Source organism: Homo sapiens, chromosome 10 (assembly GCF_000001405.40).
Source record: "Homo sapiens chromosome 10, GRCh38.p14 Primary Assembly".
In the NCBI taxonomy this organism is placed as follows: Eukaryota; Metazoa; Chordata; class Mammalia; order Primates; family Hominidae; genus Homo; species Homo sapiens.
Genome location: NC_000010.11, coordinates 103,768,685 through 103,791,268, shown reverse-complemented (window position 1 = coordinate 103,791,268; position 22,584 = coordinate 103,768,685). Strand labels below are relative to the sequence as shown.

Below are 22,584 nucleotides of genomic sequence, written 5' to 3'. Positions count from 1 at the left end.
CTCATTTGTGCAGTAGAAAATCAAAAGCCATCTCCGCCCTTTGCTGCACCCCCAGCCTCTCCATGGGGTCAATGTGGGATTTTCATACAGCGGGGGAAGCTCTTTTGTAAACTGGGGAAAATTGTAAGAAGCTGGAATGTCCTCTGGGTGTCAGTCCTTGGCACTGTTCATTGGCTCTAAATTTCTGGGTGACGTCTTGTGAGTGTGAGTGCTAGGAGCCTTGGGGGCATCACTGCTCCCCCAGTGACTGTCCAGCAGGGCTGAGAATGTCCCTTTCAGGGAGAGAAATCAGCTGTGTGCAAATAGCACAATATGGGAGGTACATGTTTGTCAACTGATGTTAACGATGTCCGCTGGGAAATCAGTGGTGGAATTATAAGTTTTCCAACCAGGAAGCCCTTAGAGATATCTAGCAGGATGACAAGTATCTGGCACTCATGTTGCTATCTCCCACTCATGCCTACAGCAGACATCACTAATTGATCATGGCATTCTCCTGTCCTGTACCCATGGCAGGCATTGTTAATTGATTACGAGCCCAGACATGGTCTCAGAGTCTTTCTAAAAAACAAAACCGAGTATCTTTAGGAAGTCACTACCTATCAGTTGGCAATGGCACCTTGAGATGAAACTAACTGGCCGCCCTCTGATCTTGCCCATTTCCCTTATTTGACAGACAAGGAAATGAGGTCCCAAGCAGGGAGTGATTTGTCCAAGATCACAGCAAGTGACAGCAGGACTAGAACTCTGGTACTCTCGCTTCTAGCTCACTCCAATCTGAGTTCCTAGCCTTCCACTCAGAAGTCCTCTTTCTGGGCCGGGCGCGGTGGCTCACACCTGTAATCCCAGCATTTTGGGAGGCCGAGGCGGGTGGATCACGAGGTCAGGAGATCGAGACCATCCTGGCTAACACGTGAAACCCCGTCTCTACTAAAAATACAAAAAAATTAGCCAGGGGTGATGGCGGGCGCCTGTATTCCCAGCTACCCGGGAGGCTGAGGCAGGAGAATGGCTTGAACCCGGGAGGCGGAGCTTGCAGTGAGCCGAGATCGCACCACTGCTCTCCAGCCTGGGCGACACAGCGAGACTCCATCTCAAAAAAAAAAAAAGAAAGTCCTCTTTCTGTTTTTGGCTGATGAGGGCAGGAAGCTTCTGTTGCCTCACTGAGAGTGTGCCTGGAGGGAGGGGTGGGGAACCATTCACTCTGCCTAGAGAGAAGCTGCCGTTGCAAAGAGCTGAAGACTTCTCTCTAGATCCCAGAAAGGTCGCTGGTGGCTCCCTCCCAGGCTCAGCTGCTTCCTGGAGCTCAGCCCACATCTCCTGCACACCGTCACCTGCCTCTCTCATTGTTGAATAATAAACCCCAGCTTTGCCAGGGGCAGTGTCAGAGTCAGCTCACACCACCTTCATGACTGTTCAGAGCTGCACACCTTGTTTTCCTGGTGTGCAGTGTCATGTCAGGGTGTGTTTGGGTGTCACGTCAGGGAGGCGTTGGAATGCAGTTGCAGCCTCTGCCACCTCCTTCCTCCTCTGCTCCTAGGCCCAAAGGTCCAACTTAGAAAATTCAGCTCTGCCCCTACTGGGCCTTCATCTTACCCCTCTTTGGATAACCAACAGGAAAGTTGTCTGGAAAGTGTGTTGGGTGACAGTGCCCCCCTCCAAACTGGAGAATGAAGGGAAGGGGGATCTTTGGTGGTGGCCAGGTGAGTGTTGTGTGTGTGTGTGTGTGTGTGTGTGTACGTATACACACCCTGTGAAGCTTCAGGTGTGACCAGGTCACTCTCTTCCTGCTGGAGGGAATTTCAAGTGCCTCCTGGCACCTCTGGAGGAGCACTAGCTACGTGCCTGACTCCATGCATGGTGCTGGGGACCCTAAGGGGAAAATCCAGAGTCATCCTGGGTGAAAGAGCCCTCAGCTGGCAGAGCATGAGGGTGGAATGCACAGAACGGGTGTTGCCGCACTAAGTGGGCAGCCCAGGATGTAGACCACCTGCATCATGCCTGCATGCTGTGGGCATTCCCTTTGGCTTGTGGGGGCAGCTTCGATCTGGGGCCTGAAGGTCTTGACATCCTGGTCCTTCTACCCCCCCCATCCTCCCCCACTGACGATGGCAGCAGCTGGTTTTGTTTTTGACTCTTTTGGAATGAGGCATGTAGGGCAGTCTGGTAAGCTATGGGAGCCTGAGCTGTGGGCTTTTCTGAGGGAAGATAGAGTTATTCGTCCCTCTGGGAGGCAATCTGCCACCAGTGTGGTGACCGGGAGATGTGAGCTGCATTGATTCCCTCATCAGCAGCCCCCGCCCCAGGCTGGACCTCAGCTTCCTGATGATTTCAGTTGCTGCCATCCCTGTGTCTCAGGGACACTAGTTTATTTTATTTTATTTTTTGAGGCAGAGTCTTGCTCTGATGCCCAGGCTGGAGTGCAGTGGTGTGATCTCAGCTCACTGCAAGCTCCGCCTCCCGGGTTCAAGCGATTCTCCTGCCTCAGCCTCCCGAGTAGCTGGGATTAGAGTAGCTGGGATTACAGGTGCCTGCCACCATGCCCAGCTAATTTTTGTATTTTTAGTAGAGACGGGGTTTCTCCATGTTGGCCAGGCTGGTCTCGAGCTCCTGACCTCAAGTGATCCGCCCGTCTCGGCCTCCCAAAGTGCTGGGATTACAGGCGTGAGCCACCGCACCCGGCCTCAGGGACACTAGTTTAGATTGGAACACTGTGGGAGTAGTTGGGATATTGGAGCTTTTTCCTTTATATCCTCAATTTAGCTGAAGCCAAGGAAAAAAGATTTTAGATCTCCCAGAGACCTCCACAGATGGATGACATCAGGCTCTCCAAAGGACTTGTGGGAGTCCTGGTGCCAAATTCCCAACTTTCCAAGTAGGGCAGCATCTCCCAGAGATGGAAGGTTCAGGCTGTGTTATCAGCCAGACTTATTTGGGTTTGCGCCTTGGCCTGCCCCTTTACCAGCTGTGTGAACCTGAGTTACCCTCCAGGAGTCTCCACCTTCCCATCTGCAAAATGGCTGTACTCGCAGAGCCTGTCCCATAGAGCTGTTGTGGGATGTGAAGATGAGCCTCAGGAAAGCCTTGCCATCATGGCTGGAGCAGCGGTGAAGCATTATTATTATGAGATTGTTGGTGCTGCCTCTGGCATCCCTGGAGAGGGGAAGGGGCTCCGATCCTCCCTGTGAACAGAATGCATGCCCAGCCTGGATTAGGGGAACATTTTTCCCAGCCACAGAAGGGTCTTGGGTACCTCCAAGCTGCAGTAAATCAATGCTTTGGGGCTGGTGAGGAGACAGACCCCAAAGCCACCAGGGTTTGGCTCTATCTGCTAATTATGGAGCCTTGATCTGGTGCTCAGTAAACAAAGTGGCCGGTTCATCCACCCTGGCAGTCTTGTGCTCAGTGCTGGCTGAGGGGCTCGGGAAGAGCCCAGGAATGTGGTCCATTTAGGTATACCTTGTTCAAAAAGATTTTTTTTGTTTGTTTGTTTTTTGCCAAACAGGAAGAATGAGGCTGGTGTTTGGGCTGGAGCTAAGATGCTGGCAGAGGGTCTTTGGGTGGGTGACAAGCCAGGGCCATTCTTCCTGCTGAGACAGTCCCGGCAGCACCTCCCGAGGGCAGCCCTGGCGGAGGCCAGCCTGCCTTGCTCCCCAGGGAGACAGGCTTGGTTTTTTTCTGGGTTTCCCAGGGCTTCACTGCTCATCTTGGAACCTTTGAGGAGGAATCCCCAGTGGGAGGGTGGAGGGAAACCCCTCTGTGTGTGCCTGCCCCCACTCCATCCAGCAGTGCAACAGGGTGGGGACCAAGACAGAAGAGACTGGGGCCAGGCAGTCTGGCAAAGTGCCAATGTTTTAAGAAAACTGTGTAGGAGGACTCCAAAATGGGAGACTCTATCCATTGCTTTATATATATATTTGGTGCATATTGAGAAAAGTCTGCTGCTGCCTGAGTCTGGCAGTTGGGACAGTTTGGAATACCTGGGTTTCTTGGCTGTGTAGTCAAGAACCAGGGTGCGGGCTGGAGCCATGGGCCTGTGCCCTGGATGGGTGACAGAATCACCTGTGATCTGGGTTCACCTGCGAGCCAGATTAAAAATGCATCCAGATTCCTGTTCCCCAGCAGCCTCCTGAATCTGACTGTCTAGGGCAGGCTCCCTGTGTCTGGAGTTCAGATAGGCTTGATAAGTGAATCGGATGCAAAGCTGGACAGAACTGTGGAGTGCTGGGATAAGGAGACCCTAGGGCCTGAGGAGCTCCCTGTCACAGCTGCTGGTGATGCCTGCAGGTGACCTCAGTCCCAGCGGCCAAGGGCTTCTCTCACCTCTGCACTTTCTCCTCAGCTCAGGAAGGGCAAGAAGGAAGGAAGGAGCTTAGGGACAAACCTGACTTGCTCCTCCTGAGGCAGGGGAGGTTGGGGAGCAGGGGTCACCCCTCAGGCTGGGGGGACTCTCCGTAGGAACCAGTGTTGGCACGTGCTTTGTGTCAGGCCCTGCCCCATGTCCTTTCCATGATCACCCCTGAACTGCTTACAGCCCACCCTGGGATGTAGGCACCACCACTCTCCCCCATTTTTCAAAATTTATTTTTATTTTATATTTATTTTTTTAAGAGGTCTCACTGTGTCACAAGGCTGGAGTGCAGTGGTACAATCATAGCTCATTGCAGCCTCACCCCTGGGTTCAAGCAATCCTCTCAGCTCAGCTTCCTGAGTAGCTGGGAGTACAAGTGTGCACCACTGTGCTGGACTAATTTTTAAATTTTTTGTAGAGATGGGGGGTCTCGCTATGTTGCCTGGACTGGTCTCAAACTCTTGGCCTTAAGTGGTCCTCCTCCATTAGCCTCCTTAGTAGCTGGGATTAAAGGTGCAAGCCACAGCCCCCCAACATTCCCCCTTTTTTAAAAAAAAGAGATGAGGGTACTCAGGTCACATAGGATGTCAAGGTCTCACCACAGGTAGGTGGAGGAGCCAGGATTCAGACTGGGCAGTCTGGTGCTGGAATCCATGCGCTAAGCCGTTCCTCTCTGCTGCCACTTTGATGTGCTGCAGAGCCAGCCTGGGAAGCCCCACACCTCGAAGAGGAGAGGAGTCCTTTCCCTTCCTTGCCAAGAAGGCTTCAGCTACAGAGCAGAAGGGGCAGGTGGGGGCTGGGCATAGAGAGAAATGGTCAGTTTCTGTATGTTCGTTTCCTTGCTCTGCTCAGGAGTCTTGGATTCTCCCTGTGGTGTTCTCTCTCTGTCTCTCTTTCCTCAGTTTCTCTATTTCTCTCTGTCTGTCTGAGGTCTCTGAGCCCATCTCTGGCTGTGGCTGTGTTTGTTCCTGTGACCTTTCCCTGAGCCTCCGTCTACGCTCTTATGTCAGCCTCCCCGGAGGCTTTTTCTCTCGCCCTGATTCTGTCTTTGCCAGTCTCGTCTGCATGTCTCATCCCAGGATGCGGCCGCATCCCAAGCAGAAGTCTGGGAGAAGGGCAGGTGGAAGCCTGCTCTGGTCTGCATGGGAGTCTCCTGCTGGGATTAGTGAAGGCAGAAGCCCTTGCAGGGGAGGAAACCTGCTTCCCCTCCTCAGGAGACTGTGGGGATGGGGAGGCAGCTTTCCCGAGAGTGGCTCACGTACAGACGCGCCTTTTGGAATCAGGCGGCAGTCTTGGCACCTGATGGGGAGGCTGTCCTGCCTCCTGTGGGCAGCCGTGATGGCCAGCCATTGCTCTGTCCCCCTCCCAGAAGAGCAGTGACTGCTTCCTCCCTTCCCTGGGCCATGCTGTGCCCGGGGGCCCTATGAGTACAAGGGGCTGGCAGTGGCCTCAGCCCTCACTCAGGCTACCCCCGGAGAGTGGGGTTCAGAGTCCCTGTGAGTGGGGTTAGGGGCACGGAGGGCAGGAGTCTTGGGCCAGCTCTTCCCCTTATCTGACTGGACAGAGGGTCCCCGGGTCTCATCTGTCTGTTCCATTGCCTAATCCCTGCCCACCCCCATGCTAGCTGTTCCTCTAAGGCCACACCTGCCCCATTGCTGTTCCTGCTAGAAATAGCTGAGCAGTGGGCAGGTGCCCAGGAAAGGGAGTGGCTCTTGCAGGGACAGGCTGGCCCCCAAGCTGTCAGCGATCCAGGTCAGGTAGGTGTCAGGAACAGGCTTGGGGCAGGGCTTTGCTGGCCCTTGAATATCTTCTATCAGTGAACAGCCGTTTTCTCTGGTCCAAGCCTTTGCCATCAACTGGAAGGAAGGGTTGGGGGTGAGCACCTGATCACATTTGTTGAGCACCTGCTAAGGGCAAGTGTTGGTGTTCAGAGTGGGGCTGAGGGGCTGGAGACAGATGCAACCCGAGCTGACCTGCAGACTGGTTACCCGTCTAAGCAGACACGCCTAGTAGGCTGCCGCTCCCAGGTGTCTCTGCGTGTAAGCCACACATGTGCCTCCACCTCAGTGTGTTCCAAACCCAGCTGCCATCTGGACCCCTCCCCACATCCTCCCCACTCCCTTCTCCTTTTCCCCCTTCTCCCCTTCCTTCCTCCTTCTTACTTCTCCTCCTCCTCCCCTTTCTTTTCCTCTTCTTCCTCCTCCACCCCAGCAGACCCATCCTCCTGCCTCCTCACTGCACCCCCCGAGTTTTTACTGGGACTGTCCTGCCCTCCAGCCAGCCGCTGCCAGTGCTTCTCTGTGCTGCAGCTTCTCTCCAGTGTTTATTTGTAATTAGGAATGTTTTCAATCCTATAGAAAATGATATCACAGGCATGAGAGGACCGACTGCCCAGATTTAACACGTGAATATTTTGCCACATTTGCTTCAGATATGTCTCTTTTAAATAAATAAAATGGTGCAGATAGAAGAGGTGTCTGGTCAATGCTACATTCCCTTCCTCCTGCCTTGGGTCTGCGTGTAGGAGTGGAACTGGAGGTGGAGAAGGGCTGGGGTTCAGGTAGGCTGGGAAGGCGCTCCAGGCACGGGCATCCACGTGGGCAAGGTGTGGGACAGGACCGCCTTGGGCATGCACAGAGGCTTGGGCGACCCCTGCTTCTGTGACCTCTTGGGGTCTGAAGTCCAGGGAGGGCGGGACCTGGAAAAGGGCAGGCCTGCACACAGGTGCCCCAGCAACCCCCGAGCAGCCAGCATCTTCTCTCCCTGCACTTCCTCCTCCTCCTGCATCTCATTCCAGGTGGGCAGCTCCCCTGTTTGAAAGGAGCCCATCACCTGGGTCAGCAGCTGGGCTGCCACCTGGAGAAGTAGCCTGCAGCTGGGCACCAGGGTGGGCTTGGAAGACAGCAAGCTTTGCGGGGGGACTTTTCCTGTTGCATTCCCAGGTCCCTGGCAGGAGGCAGTTTTTCCCCCAAGGAGAGCCTCATTAGAAGGGCTGGCAGCAGAGCCTGGGAAGCACAGGCTGCCCCGGGCGGCTCGCCTCACTGCGGGGGCTGCTTTACAAGGCTTCCCTGGCAACACTGCCCGAGGTTTATTTTTAGCTCTAGGGATTCCTCTCTTTTTCCATCTGGGCTCCACCTTGTTCTCCCCTTTTCCCACTGTGAAGGAACACTGGGAAGTCCTTGGCTTAAGGAGATTCCAAAAAGAAGTTATAGGAGACGTCTATGGGCAAAATAAATGCCTGACCTCAGTGACCAGGGAGGAAGCCATCCAAGCAGCAGATGCCAGCTTTGACACCTTCAGACCTGTACGGGGCACACCTGTGCCTGGGTCAGCTGCTATGTGCATCTAAGATGCCAAAAGGGATTCAAACCCGGTTGGGACCACCCCACACCTGGCCAGTCATGTCCCATATCCAGCCCAATAGCAAGTCAGCTCGTCCTCAGCTCATCTTCTCAGACTCTGCCCCCCAGAGACAGCCCGGATCTGCCCTCTTCCTCTGCATCGACTCTGCCCCCACCGTGGTCCAGCCCCGCATCAACCTGTCACCTGGGCAACTGAGACAGCCTCCTCAGGGGTCTCCACATTCTCACGGTCACCTCCTCCATAATCCAGTCTTCCCACGAATCAGAGCCCTCCTAAAACATAAACCCTATCCTGGCAGACCATGGCCTTGAACCTTTCTGAAGACTCCCTTTCTTTTTGGAATGAACTCCAAACTCCTTGCCTGCCCCCAGGCCCTGGGTGATGGCCCTGCCTGCCCTTCCAGACCCATCTCTGTCACCCTCCTGTCACTTGTTCTCAGCACCCCAGCTCGCTCGCTTCACCTGCTCCTTGGGCACCAAGCGCAGTGCTGCCACCAGGCCTTTGTCCTTGCTGTTCCCTCTGCCTGCAGTCCCTTCCCTCAGGTCCCCAAGGAGCTGACTCCTGGGCACTCAGCCTCAGCTCACATGGCACCTCTCATAGAATCAGAGAGCCCCCCCCCCCAAGGCATGCATTCATTTCATGTACTCTTGGTCACTTTGTCACATTCTACTGTCTTCAAAACACTTATTACAACCTGTTATTATCTTTTTTTTTTTTTTTTTTTTTTGGAGAGATGGAGTCTCCCAGTGTTGCTCAGGCTGAACTCCTGGGCTCAAGCCATCCTCCCACCTCAGCCTCCCAAAGTCTGGGATTACAGGGATGAGCCACCATGCCCAGCCCATTGTCTTCTTAACTGTTGTTTACTATGTCATTCCCCACCTCCCTCCCCTTCTCCCCAGAATGTGAGCTTTCAGAGAGCAGGATCTTGCCTGCTCCATAGCTTCTGTTTTCCCGATGCCTAGAACAGTACCTGCCATATAGTGTGTGCTTGGGAAATCATTGTTGAATGAATAAATGAATGCATAGTGAGCTGCCGCTGGTTATGAAGGAATGGGAGAGAGAGGCCTGCTGTCCTCCTCCTCCGCTTTAAAGGCAAGTTTTATTTAGCTCCCATTCCTCCTCTTGTGTGCCCATCTTTGCCTATGGGCTAGATTTACTATTGGGATCTGCTTGTTAAGGATTAGATGAAATCTTTATGGCAGAGAACAATGAGGACTTCTCAAATTTTCATGTGCACATGAACTACTTAGCAATCTTGCTAAAAGATTCTGATTCAGCAGGTCCGCCTGGGGTTTGAGATTGTGCTTTTCCATCAAGCTCTGAGATGATGTCAGTGCCACAGTCTGCCTTGAGTAGCACCGGCGTGGAACATTGGGAGGATATGTTTGAAGTCCCTCTTCTCCATTCCTCTCTTATTCTTCTTTCGGTCCCAGTGTGATCTTTCCCTTGTTAGGTCATAGCCCTTCGTGACCAGGTGGGGATCTGATCTGGTGAACTTGGGCTTTGTGAGGAGCCCTGTTGCAGCACTTCCCAGAGGCTGCCCAGGAATGGCGTGGGCTGCTTCAGAGAGGCGGTGGGTTCCCATCGTTGGTTCCTCTGAGCTTGAGGGTCATGTGTCAGGCATGCTGATGTCCCTGTGGCAAGGAGGAGGCTCCTCCCTGCAATTCAGCTTTGTGTCTCTGTGTGCTTTCTACAAGCTTGTGAAACCAGGATCTTGAGGTGTGGCCCATTCACCTAGAGTGACTTTCAGAGGCCATCTGGCAAGTCCTCCACCCTTCTCAGTCCTTCCGGGGGAAAGCATGGCATTCTAACCACTGTGCATGTGGGTTTGATAGATACAGCTGTGGGAGAGGAGTGATGGTTTAGTTCCAGCAATAGTTGAGTCATGCAGGGAATGTAATGCCTGACTTGATTGGATCTAAGGATAGAACCGCAGGAGGAATCTACATTTTCTATTGCCTTCCCTCTTTTAGTTTGTTTCAATAGACCTTGATTGAGCTCCTCTGTATGAGTCAGGGCAGGCTAACTGCTGTATAACAAACTCAGTGACTCAACATATTTATTTTCTGCACAGGTCCCAGACCTAAACAAGTCACTAGAGGGCTCTGCTCCAGGCAGTCATTCAGGAACTCAGACTCCCCCAGCTGGTGACCCCATCCTGCGTGGAGTTTTGCATCTAGCCAGCAGGCAAAGGAAGAGAGAATATGAAGGACTGCAGGGAGATTCTGTGGGTTATGCCAAAGGGAAGGGTACATTACCCTGCTCATGTGCCACTGGTCAGGATTTAGTTCCATGATTGTACCTCCCAGCAAGGGAGGCTGGGAAATGTATTCTAGTCATAGGTCCAGGTATGTGTTGGATACCATGATGGACAGTGGAAATATCAAGGCACAGACATGACTTTCAAGAAGCTCACAGGCTTTTGGAAGGAAACAGTTTCACAAGCAAATCATTAAGTCCAGTATGGTAAGCATAGTTCTAGAAGTGTGACCGATCTGCAGGAGTGATGGGGAGGAGGGAGCTGTGGAACAGCAGGTTACACCTGTGGAGACCTCAGGCAGGCCAGGCAGTGTGCAGGGACGGACAAGCAAGGGTGGCAGGGCGTGTGACTAGAGAGGTCAGTTGAGCAGAGGTCATGAATAGGCTTGTGTCCCACAGGCAGCAGAGAGCCAACAAAGGGTGTGAAGCCGAAGATGAAATCTGCAGAGTGGGGAGCAAGTTGCAGCAACATTAGAGACTGGTTCAAACTTAGCACTCTCCTTGCCTGGACCTGCAGAGAGGTTTCACATGTATCTTGGTTTCTCATGCCAGGAAATTTCTAACAGAGGAGGAAGGGGTGGCAGTGGGGAGGTGACTCTCCAAGTCACCTGGTGCAGGCAGTGCTTCTGGCTGGAGTTTGCTGCGCCTGCCTGACCTTTGAGGGTTCCACTCAGCAACACAGGGCCTGGATGGTGGCTTCCAGTGTCTTCAAGGATGCTTTCATTGCCCTCTCCTGAGTTCTAGGATGGCCCAGCCACTCTTATTTCCTGGGAAGGCCAAAGAGGCTGGTGCTGGTTCACAGCCCCAGGGCTCCATATTAACCAGGCAAGGCTACAGGGAGGAGCTGAACTCTGCCCGCTTGACCCCAGCCTTCTGCAGTAGCCTACTCTTTCGCTTTTCCTTTTGACAAGACTTTGGAGGAAGAAGGTTCTGAGACCTATGGGCACCTTGACCCATTTGGAATAGAGAAAAAAGTGGGGAATGGAGATGCTTGGGGAAGGGAAGGAGAAAGGCAAGGATGTTAGACTGTCATTTAGAAGTGTTCCGCTTGGCTTCCCTTTCCAGGAAGCCCATCAGGGTTGCACACTGGGGGCCTGCTCTGGAATCTCCTTGCCTTGAGCAGCAGCCTGGGCCCAGGCCCGCTGAGGGTCTGTTTTGGCTTCATCTTTGCCAAAAAGTGCTCTCTTTGTCCCAGATTTCAGTCTGAATTTGATCCCGTAGTGGCCAGGGCACTTGGGGTACCACAGTTCTAGGCCATTTGGAGGATGAGAAGAATCAAGAACAATTGGGGCTAGGGGTGTGGTTCAGCCGGGAAAAGGTTAAAGCCGTTTGCCTTCCTTCCCCTTCCCCCTTCTTCAGGGCCTCCTCCTATTTTGGATAGTCCTTGCAGTTTGTGTGAGAGAGAAAAGTGTCAGGCAGCTTTGGGGAGAATTTCAAAAACCTGTGAGTGGTCTCTGGCAAGGCTAGGGGATGGCTAGAGACCCCCAGGAGGAAACAGAGTGACCACAGCCAGGAACCTGCCAGAAAACACCTCAAATCTGGGCAGACTTCCTTCTCTGCGGAGTGTCACCACCGGCGCCCTGGGCTGGTGCCAGGATTCCTCTGGCTGGCTGTCTCACACACAGATGTTTCTTGCACCACTCTCCGTCCTCTGTACTGGCCAGATGTGTCTTCCTAGAATTCCACTTTCACAGTGTTCCTTCGCTGCTCAGCAGCCTCAGGGGCTCCCTATTGCCTGGAGGAGGAAGTCCGAGTTCTTCCTCTGTTTCAGATGACCCCTGCAGCCCTGCCCCTCACACTGCCCCATGTATACCCTCCCTGCTCCAGCACCAGGCTCCCCCAGCTCCCACACTTCCTAGGGACCAAAGGGAGGGAAGTTCACAAGCAGCCGGGGCTGGCACACGGGGGTATCAGGAGGATGCTGGGGTGTAGCTCCCATCCATAGTAAGAAGCCGGCCCCGCACGGCGCCTCATGCCAGGCGGGTGGATCGCTTGAGGTCAGGATTTCGAGACCAGCCCGGCCAACATGAGGAAACCCCGTCTCTACTAAAATACCAAAATTAGCTGGGCGTGGTGGCAGGTGCCTGTAATCCCAGCCACTCGGGAGGCTGAGGCAGGAGAATCGCTTGAACCTGGGAGGCAGAGATTGCAGTGAGCCGGGATCGTGTCAGTACACTCCAGCCTGGGCGACGGAGCAAGACTCCATCTCAAAAACAAAAACATAAACATAGTAAGAAGCCATGCCTCAGGTTCTGTGACTCCTGGGGAGACACTATTCCTTCTGCCAGGAGCCAGGCTCAGAGCTGGCCACTTGCAGAATCTCTTATCTGACTCCTTTTGTCACTAGCTCCCCAGGTGCTCTGCTGCCCTGGCCTCATGCTCTTCCCTCTTGGCCAAGGGGAGCTGAAGTCACCTGAGCTATCTGTGTTGGGACAAAGCTCAACAGCCTTAGGATGAGAAAGGGTGTGAAATTATAGGTGAAAAACCCAAAAGGCCTTACAGCTGTTGGAAGTTAGGGTTAGATGGGCTTGGCAGGTGGCCCTGAGCAGCTCCCTGAAAGCAGAAAGGGCTGGAGGAGGGCATCAGAGATCAGGGAAACACCACCGGAGTCTCTTTACCTTCAAACTGGCGACCCCATTCATCTAGCACTCACGGTAAGGCCAGCACACCTGCTCACCTGTATTCTCATTTCATCCGCACAGTGCCATGGGGCGCTGTTTCTACTCCCATTTTACAGATGAGAAAATGGGGTCACAAAGAGATTAAGTGACTTGGCCAAGGTCATGTAGCTAGGAAAGAATAAGCTGGAGTTCTGACTTCAGCCCTCAAGCATTCCACTACTGACTAGAACACTAATAATGGTAAAACAGTGCCAAGGGAGGTGCCTCCTTCTGGGGGTTTCCTCTGTGCCTGGCCTGTGTTAAAGCGCTCTACCTATTCATTTCCCCCCGCCTTTTTTTTCTGGAGACGGAGTCTCGCTCTATCGCCCAGGCTGGAGTGCAGTGGCACGATCTCGGTTCACTGCAAACTCCGCCTCCCGGATTCACGCCATTTCCTGCCTCAGCCTCCCGAGTAGCTGGGACTACAGGCATCCGCCACCGTGCCCAGCTAATTTTTTTTTTTAATTTTTAGTAGAGACGGGGTTTCACCATGTTAGCCAGGATGGTCTCGATCTCCTGACCTCGTGATCCTCCTGCCTCGGCTTTCCAAAGTGCTGGGATTACAGGCGTGAGTCACTGCGCCCAGCCCATTTTCCCTTTTTAACTTCAGCCACCATGGAGGGGAAAAACAGGCATGGTCCTATTTTACAGATGAGTAGACTGAGGCTCAGAGAAGTTATGTGGGAATGATGACTCCTGGCATTTGGCAGCACTTGCTTGCATCTTCTCCTTGGATCCTCACAACACGTGTGGAGACAGGCAGGTCCAGCATTTCACAGATAAGGCTGTGGTTACCCAGAGAGGCCAAGCCATTTGCCCCAGTTGCCCAGCAACTTCTTGCAGGCTAGAACTGGAATCCTCCTCTGTTGACTCCAACCTAGTGCTCTTTCTCTCCTGCACAAAGGCCATGGGTCAGCAGGTGGGGGTCTGTGGAATGAGGCCACTGGGGTAGGTTTGGGGACAGGCATCGGTACTTGGGCACCTTTTGGGCATCAGAGAGAGGCTTTCTGTGGCTTGAGGATTTCCCCTGGGATTGCATCCTCCAGCACATCTTTGCTTAATTCACCCTGTGTATATCTCACTGCAGGTGTCGGGCTATCCGCCCAGGCCTAGCATGTTAAATGTCACGTCCTGGCCAGCCCCCACCCACGGAATGAGCTGCTGGGAAAGCCAGAGGCCTCCTCCCCAACCCTGGCCCACGCACGCCAGCTGGGCAGCTCCCCTGGGGCCTCTAGATGCCCAGAGCCAAGCTGGCCCAGGCCAAGACGCCTCCCAGACCCATCCACCCCTCTCAGTCTCCCTGCCGCCTCCCTGACCTCAGGGTTGTAGTTTCCTAAGCACTTTCCCTGGCATGAGGGACGCAGCCTGGTGTCATAACAAGAGTAATGGTGACAGGGGTGATAAGAATAGCCGGTGTGTATGGAGCACTTACTCAGTGCCAGGCTCTGTGCCAAGCACTTTACCTACATTATCTCATTTAATCCTCTCACCCACCTGACCAGTCAGGTTTTGTCCCTGTTCCCATTTCACAGATGAGGAAACTGATTTGAATGCAGAGCTGCCTAGCTATTCACGATTTATTTTTCTTCACATTTTCTAAAATGTTGTGCAAGCACCACTGTGATTCAGGAAGAGACTCTTCATAGTATACGGACAGATATTTATCTTTTAATGGTTATGTTTTGTTTTAATGTGTTAATGGTATGGGTTGAAGTTTTTATGTATTCCTCCCAAAATTCATATATTGAAGTCCTAGCCTCTGGTACCTCAGAATGTGACCTTATTTGGGAACAGGGTCATCAAGATGTAATTAGTTGAGATCATCCGGGAGTAGGGTGGCTCCTAATCTAACATGACTGGTGTCCCTGTGAAAGGGGGAAATTTAGACAGACACACACGCAGGGAGAGCATCATGTGGAGATGAAGGCAGAGATCAAGGTTCTCCTTTTTACAAACCAAGGAATGCCATAGATGACTTACATCCCTGAAGCTAGGGGACAGGCATGGGACAGACCCTCTCTCACAGCCCTCAGAGGGAACCAACCTGCCCATACCTTGATATTGGACTTCTAGCCTCCAGGACTGTGAGACAATCAAACTCTGCTAAGACACCTAGTTTGTGGTACTTTGTTACAGTGGCCCTAGCAAACTAAATAGTTAGAATACACACACACACACACACACACACACACACACACAGACACACACACGCATGCACACACTTTTTTTTTTTTTTTTTTGAGACAGTGGTGTCTAGCTCTGTCACCCAGGCTGGAGTGCAGTGGCATGATCATGGCTCACTGCAGCCTCAACCTCCTGGGCTCAATTAATCCTCCCTCCCCAGTGTCCCAAGTAGCTGAGACCACAGGTGCACAGCACCACACCCAGCTAATTTTTAAATCTATATATTCTGTAGAGGTGGAGTCTCACCATGTTGCCCAGGCTGGTCTGAAACTCCTGGGCTTAAGCAATCCTCCTGCCTTGGCCTCCCAGAGTGCTGGAATTACAGGCATGAGCCACGGTGTCCGGCTATACACTTATGATTTGAAGACAGAGAAAGGGGCCATGAGCCAGATAATATAGGTGGCCTCTTGAAGCTAAAAAAGGCAAGGAAACAGATGCTCCCCTAGAGCCCAGGGATGGAAATGGCTCTGCTTTCCCCAACCCAGATGCTGTAGACAGCAGCTTAGTGAGTGTGTGTTATTATCGAGCAGGCATCTGAGACCTCCCACCTGCCAGTCCCCATCCCAGAGACTCCAGCCACATGTAGTGCCGTCCTTGAGCTGGGTTCTGAAAATGACTTCTCCATCTCGTCACACTGCTGGTGATGCTTTAGGGCACCCTAATTACCCCTGAGAGTGGCACATCAGGCATCTGCCCTCATCCAGCCCTGGTGCCAGCTGTGTGGTCATCCTCAAGTCGCTGGAATAAATGATCAGGAGCCTCCACCCCGGATCCCAGCACTTTCTCTGACATACGGCAGCATTTCATGGAATCCGTGAGCAAGGCAAATCACTCCCATCCCACTGCTTCCTGTAGCAATCCTGACAGGCCCACTGCCGAGCATAAGTCCCTGCCATTCCTCCCCCTGGAAGGCCTTCCTCCCATTTCCCAGCTCTCTATTCAAGGCCTGGCTCTGATGTCTCTTCTGAGACATCCTTTTGCTCACTCCAGCCACACTGATCTTGTCCTTTCCTAAACTCCCATCGCCTGGCTTTTCATACCACTCAGCAGGTTGACACCCACTTAATGCTGCTAGTTAAGTCCCTTGTACCCATGTGGGTGTCCCAGCTCCCACTCGGATCACAGACCATGACTGACACTCCTGAAACCTGCTGATGTGGTAAAGGCCTGGTTGGGAAGGGACTTGAAGTAGTGAAGGCTTGCATGTTTTCCAGAAAATGGTCAAAGAAGACTTCTTTGACTTGTTAAGGAACTTTAGAACCTGGAATGGGCTCCCTGTCAAAGTTGGGGTGTGTTCTAGCACCGTGCTTCCTCAGCGTGGCATGAGCCATGTCCCAGCTAAAAGCATCCCAACTCCTTGCCAGGGTGGACAGGTCCTCTCTCTCTCCTCTCGCTCTCTCCCTGGCTGTTCCTTCAGGCCTATCTGGGGGGCCACTAGTATGGAAATGGTAGAAGAGTCACTTAACTTGAATATAGATCATTAGAAATGATCAAATCTGCATAACACTCCAGGCGTCCAGCTGGGACACCGGAAGGGCGGCACTTTAGCAGCAAGGACCTAAGTAAGACCCTAAAGTAAGGCCTACTGTAAACTCACCCTAATCAAACCCAAGAATAAGTCCTAACAATATCCACAGAGGAGACAGAATTTGGAGGTTGAGTCACATCAAGTTAGAGGTACTTGGAAAATACCTAGGACTTTCCATAGATCCCCCCTAAGAAAGCATAAAACTCTGCCTACGTAAGTTTGAGGTGATTAACCATTACTTGAATTGGCTACTAGAACAAAAATCAACACTTTTCAGAGAAAAATAACAGAATCCAGAGTCTCTACAGCATATTAGCCACAATGACAAGTATAAAATGAAACATTACTAAGTGGTCAAAGAAATAAGAAAATATGACCCATAGGTGTAAAAAAGTACTAGAAACTAACACAGAGATGGCCCAGATGTTGAACGACTTTCAAACAGTTAAATAACTAAAGGAAAATATGGATTTAATGATTAAGCAGATAGTAGAGAAATGGAAACTATAAAAAATAGAGTCAAATAGAAATTTTGAAACTTAAAAGTGCCATAATTGAAATGAAAATTTCACTGGATGAGCTTAACCGCTAGTATGGAAATGGCAGAAGGATCACTTAACTTGAATATAGATCATTAGAAATGATCCAATCCGTATAACAGAGAAAACAGAATGAAGAAACACACGCACAGTCCCAGAAACATGTAGTACAATATGCAGTCTTCTGACTTACATGTAACAATAGTCCCAGAAATAGAAGAAAATTATAATGGAGTAGAAACAAAACTTTTTTTTAAATGGCCACAAATTTTCCAAATATTGTGAAAATTATCAACTTACAGATTCAAGAAGCCCTGTGAACTCCCAAAGAGAATAAATATAAAGAAAATGGCTAGGCATGATGGTTCATGCCTGTAATCCCAGCACTTTGGGAGGCCAGGACAGGAGGACCACTTGAGGCCAGGAGTTCAAGATCAGCCAGGGCAACATAGTGAGACCCTGTCTCTAAAAGAAAAAAAGACAATTAACTGGGTGGTGCACACCTGTAATCCCAGCTACTCAGGAGGCTGAAGTGGGAGGATCACTTGAGCCCAGAAAGTCAAGGCTGCAGTGAGCTGGGATTGTGCCACTGCACTCCAGCCTAGGAAACAAAAGCTCGACCCTGTCTCAAAGAAAGAAAAGAAGGCTGGGCACAGTAGCTCACACCTGTAATCCCAGTACTTTGGGAGGCTGAGGCAGGCAGATCACTTGAGCTCAGGAATTCAAGACCAGCCTGACCAACATGGTGAAACCCCGTCTCTACTAAAAATACAAAATATTAGCCGGGCATGGTGGCACACACCTGTAATCCCAGCTACTCAAGAGGCTGAGGCAGAAGAATCGCTTGAACCTGGGAGGAGGGGGTTGCAGTGAGCCGAGATTGCACCACTGCACTGCAGCCTGGGCAACAGAGCGAGACTCCGTCTCAAAAAAAAAAAAAAGAAAGAAAGAAAAGAGAAGAAAAACCACACTTATCATTATTGTCCCTCTCTTCTTCTGTGATGCTCGCTGATGTGTCCCCTGCATGTAACACAGGGGACTGCTTAGTCCTCAGCTAAGTAGAATGAACAAATGAATTCTGAGGTTTCCCGCAATCTTGCATGGTCCCCACAGAGACTGGGTGGCCTTGTCTCTTTTTTTCTCTTTTTTTTTTTTTTTTTGAGACAGAGTTTCACTCTTGACACACAGGCTGGAGTGCAATGGTGAGATCTCAGCTCACTGCAACCCCCGCCTGCCAGGCTCAAGCGATTCACCTGCCTCAGCCTCCTGAGTAGCTGCGATTATAGGCGCCCGCCACCACGCCCAGCTAATTTTTGTATTTTCAGTAGAGATAGGGTTTCACCATGTGGTCAGGTTGGTCTCGAACCCCTGACCTCAGGTGATCCACCCCGCCTTGGCCTTCCAAAGTGCCGGGATTACAGGCGTGAGCCACCGCGCCCGGCTGTCCTTGTCTCTTTTTAAGGGGAATTTCTGGGTCAGGAAAGCCACCAGCTTTTTGTAGTAATGCACCCTTTTTTCTTGAGCTAGATAGAAAGGGCACAAGGATGAAGGTTTGAGGATTGGGGCCTGAAAGCTTGAGTCTCTGGGAGCTCCACCCTCTGGGAGGGGCGAGGAGCCGGCCTCTTGGGTTACAGATGTGCCCCAGCTGGGCTCGCCCGTCCTCCCCTCTCCCCTGCGTGGATTGCTGCGGAGCCCTGCCCTGGGAGAGCTGCCGAATCAGCTTTCTCTGGCTGGAGCCAGCGCGTGGAGCCCAGCTGTCCCCTATCTCTCACACGATCCACCCTTTAGATAAACAGCCTGGCCGCCTCCACACACTGCGAGGTTCTGATGTGGTTGCGAGGGGCTCCATTAGCCAAATGCCTCTCACTCCAGCCAGGACTCTGGCGATGGGCCCTGCTTTTCCTCCAGCCTGAGTCAGGCCCGTGCTGGAGTGACAGGAGAATCTGCTTCCTGCCTGCAAAGGTGGTCCCGGAGAACTCTCTGCTGGGCGGGGCCTTCCTGCCTCACCGCCCCCGCGCCCAGCCTTCTTCCTCCCAGAGGGCGGGGCAGCAGGTTCAGGAGACAGCCCCGCTCAGCCCCGATTGTTTTATCTGTGGAAACTAGCCCTGCAAATTGGGTACTGACCAGGTTAGAGCCCGCTTTGCAGCCTGCCTGGCCCTCTAGGAGGGGTGACATTTGAACTGTCTCTCACCGCCCGCCGATCTGACGTATTGAGGGCCAAGATGCTGAACTGTGCAGCTTTGCAAGTACAAGCCCCACACAGAATGAACTCTTACTTGGTTTGCTCTGGAGTCTGAGCCCAGAGATTTGCTTTCGTTGAAAGCTGACCTGTGGGCAGAAAAGGTGTCCCTGGCAGCTGGTTAGCTGTGCTTCCGTTTTCCGCGGCCAGTGGTCCATGGGGGTGGGGGATGACTGACGGAGAGCAGCTCCGGGGCTCTGCTGGTTTATCCTGGTGGTGGGATTAGGTGACAGGTGTGGCTGGGCTCAGCACCTGAGGTCCTGCCCAGACCTGCTGAATCAGAACTTGCCAAGAGCTGCAGATGCATGTTGAAGGTTGTGAAGCCTGGCTCCTTGATGTGAAGGCTGCAGGGTATGTGTGTGTCTGTGTGTGTGTGTGTGTGTGTGTGTGTGTGTGTGTGTGTGTGTTGTTTTGACGGAGTCTCGCTCTGTTGCCCAGGCTGGAGTGCAGTGGCACGATCTTGGCTCACAGCAGCTTCCGCCTCCGAGGTTCAAGCGATTCTCCTGCCTCAGCTGGGACTACAGATGTGCACCACCATGCCCACCTAATTTTTGTACTTTTTTTTAGTAGAGATGGGGTTTCGCAGGCTGGTCTGTGAACTCCTAGCCTCAAGCAGTCCTCCTGCCTTGTCCTCCCAAAGTGCTGGGATTATAGGCGTGAGCTACTGCGCCTGGCCATGAGGCTACAGTTTAACTTATTTCTAGCACCTAAGGCAGAGCCTGACATGGAGAAGGCATACAGAAACGGTTCTTGGGGGAAAGGAATGAATGCATGAGTCCTGCCTGCCCCTGCCCACTCCCCACAGCATCACATTCCCTCTGCACTGTGAGAATCTCAGACTCTTAGGTCTGAAAGAGATGGAGGAGTCGGAGAACATATGCATGTCAGAGCTGGGGAAAAAATGTCAAGTTTTGGTAGCCTAACTCCCTTAAGCCCCAGAGAGATATAGCACCTTGGGTGAGGTCTCACCACTTGTGGTGGAATAGCGGGTCACCTTGTTTCAGGAGACAGGTGGTTGAGATAAGGACAAAGCGTTCCATACCTGGGCGCGTGTTGCTGGGCCCACCTCTCTCCTCAGACATCTCTGTACCTCTTCATCAGAAACCTATGGAGTCATTTCTCAGAGGCCCCAATGACATGTTAGTTATCCATTTATGAATTCTCATTCTTCTTATGGAAAAGATTTAAGGTACTTATAAATATGCATAGAATACAACAAGATAAAAAGTAAAAAGAAATGCATTGTTATTAAGGAAGTGTGCGTAGACATGTGAACAAGGGGATTCACGACAGTGCTATATATAGTAGTGAGAAGTCAGAAACAACCTAAATATCCAACAGTAGGGGAGTGGGTAAATACACTATGGCAGCAATATCCCACCACCAGGATAAGCCAGCAGAGCCCCGGAGCTGGTCCCCCTGTCAGTCATCCCCCACCCCCATGGACCACTGGCCACGGAAAATGGAAGCACAGCTAACCAGCTGCCAGGGACACCTTTTCTGCCCACAGGTCAGCTTTCAACGAAAGCAAATCTCTGAGCTCAGACTCCAGAGCAAACCAAGTAAGAGTTCATTCTGTGTGGCACTTGTAGCTGGCAATATCCAGACATTGAAATTCTGTGTCCTGATTGAGAATGCTGACGTGTCCTGGGCACAGTGGCTCACACCTGTAATGTCAGTGCTTTGGGAGGCCAAGGTAGGAGGATCGCTTGAAGCCAGGATCTTGAGACTAGCCTCACAGTGAGATCCCATCTCTACAAAAAAGTTTTTAAACTAGCTGGGCATTGTGGCACACACCTGGTCCTAATTACACCAGAGGCTGAAGTGGGAGGATCACTTGAGCCCAGGAGTTTGAGGCTGCAGCAAGCTGTGATTGCACACTGTACTCCAGCCTGGGCAACAGAGTGAGACCTGGTCTCTTAAGAAAAAAGAACATTGATATGAAAGTATTCATTGACATGGAAAAATGTTCATTATATAGTGTGAAAGTATTGATGGGTTCATTTTATTTACATGGATGGAAGAATGCCTAGCAAAGATAGATATCCCAAAATATTAATGTCAGGGAGAGAGATTATGAGTGATTCTTAGTTTCTTTTTGACCACCCACTGCTATAACTTCTAGTTTTTTCCCTTAGCGAACATGAATTCCTTATGTCGTAGTGTAATATAGAAATGAAATCTACAAAAACAGAATATGGGTGAGGAAAATGGGAAAAGGAGAAAATAGGAGTCCTAATCTGTATAGAATTTATTTGAAAATGTATTAATTTTTAAAATCCTTTGCTGAGCATTAAGGTATAGGAAAGAAAAAAAAATCCTGTTTAGAGTGTTATGGCCCAGTTGCTGTTTTTACACATAGCAGGCAATTATTAATGTTTGAGAGTTTGACTTAAAACATTGAGAACTCACGTGGCCAGGCGCCGTGGCTCACACCGGTAATCCCAGCACTTTGGGAGCCTGAGGCAGGCGGATCACTTGAGGCCAGGAGTTCGAGACCAGTCTGGCCAACATGGTGAAACCCCATCTCTACTAAAAATACAAATGTTAGCCAGGCGTGGTGGCACACACCTGTAATCTCAGCTATGAGAATAGCTTGATCCTGGGAGGCGGAGGTTGCAGTGAGCTGAGATCGTGCCACTGCACTCCAGCCTAGGTGACAGAGACAGACTCTGTCTCAAAAAAAAAAAAAAAAAGAAGAAGAAGAAGAAAGAAAAAGAAAAAATCATGAGCCAGCTTTTGTTAAATATCCATCTGTATTCAGGGAAGTGAAAGTTAATCATGCTGCAGTCTTTGTCTTGTTTTGAATGTAATCACCGGTGACCTGCCCTTCATTATGTGGGATCTAAATAACCTGGGTATATTGGGTAATGATTATGCAAGAGACAATCCTAAAATTGTGTGTTAGAGCTGGATGGGTGGACAAACGGATGGATGGATGGAAATAAATGCGCGCGCGCGCGCACACACACACACACACACACACACACACACACACACACACACACACAGAGTCTAGCCTAGAACCATGCTATAGCTTGGATATTTGTTCCCCCCAAGTCTTATGTTGAAATTTGATACCTGGTGTCGGAGGTGGGCCTAATGGGAGGTGTTTGGGTCATGAGGGCTGATCCCTCATGAATAGTTGGTCCTGTTCTCATAGTAATGAGTGAGAGCCAGTTGTTAAAAAGAGCCTGGCGCCTCCCCCTTGCCCTCTGCTTCCTGTCTCGCCCTGTGATCTCTGCACATGCCCACTCCCCTTCCATGCCGTGAGTGGAAGCAGCCTGAGGCTTCACCACATGCCTAGTAGATTGTGAGCCAAGCTAAATAAGATTCTTTTCTTGATAAATTACCCAGCCTTGGGTCTTCCTTTATAGCAACATTAAACAGACTAAGACAAACCGCTTTTCACCACCTCCAGTGCTAACACCTTGGTCCAAGTCACCTTCAGTAGGATCCTA

The 22,584-nt window shown here is 51.4% G+C and overlaps 1 protein-coding gene across 2 annotated transcripts in view, besides 4 other annotated features; it reads left to right on the top strand.

Moving 5' to 3' along the window:
• The window catches only part of SH3PXD2A (SH3 and PX domains 2A), a 261,550-nt gene that overhangs the window by 64,308 nt on the left and 174,658 nt on the right, over positions 1 to 22,584 (top strand). The gene's annotated exons all lie outside the window — the stretch shown is intronic.
• Positions 482 to 1,482: an enhancer, noted in NCBI's record as "H3K4me1 hESC enhancer chr10:105549545-105550545 (GRCh37/hg19 assembly coordinates)". NCBI's record gives its function as "activates a minimal SCP1, AML or CMV promoter by ChIP-STARR-seq in naive H9 embryonic stem cells {active_cell/tissue: H9 hESC(naive)}" and the evidence as "EXISTENCE:reporter gene assay evidence [ECO:0000049][PMID:30033119]".
• Positions 5,733 to 6,234: an enhancer, noted in NCBI's record as "H3K4me1 hESC enhancer chr10:105544793-105545294 (GRCh37/hg19 assembly coordinates)". NCBI's record gives its function as "activates a minimal SCP1, AML or CMV promoter by ChIP-STARR-seq in primed H9 embryonic stem cells {active_cell/tissue: H9 hESC(primed)}" and the evidence as "EXISTENCE:reporter gene assay evidence [ECO:0000049][PMID:30033119]".
• Positions 11,309 to 11,808: an enhancer, noted in NCBI's record as "H3K4me1 hESC enhancer chr10:105539219-105539718 (GRCh37/hg19 assembly coordinates)". NCBI's record gives its function as "activates a minimal SCP1, AML or CMV promoter by ChIP-STARR-seq in naive H9 embryonic stem cells {active_cell/tissue: H9 hESC(naive)}" and the evidence as "EXISTENCE:reporter gene assay evidence [ECO:0000049][PMID:30033119]".
• Positions 18,957 to 19,927: an enhancer, noted in NCBI's record as "H3K27ac-H3K4me1 hESC enhancer chr10:105531100-105532070 (GRCh37/hg19 assembly coordinates)". NCBI's record gives its function as "activates a minimal SCP1, AML or CMV promoter by ChIP-STARR-seq in naive H9 embryonic stem cells {active_cell/tissue: H9 hESC(naive)}" and the evidence as "EXISTENCE:reporter gene assay evidence [ECO:0000049][PMID:30033119]".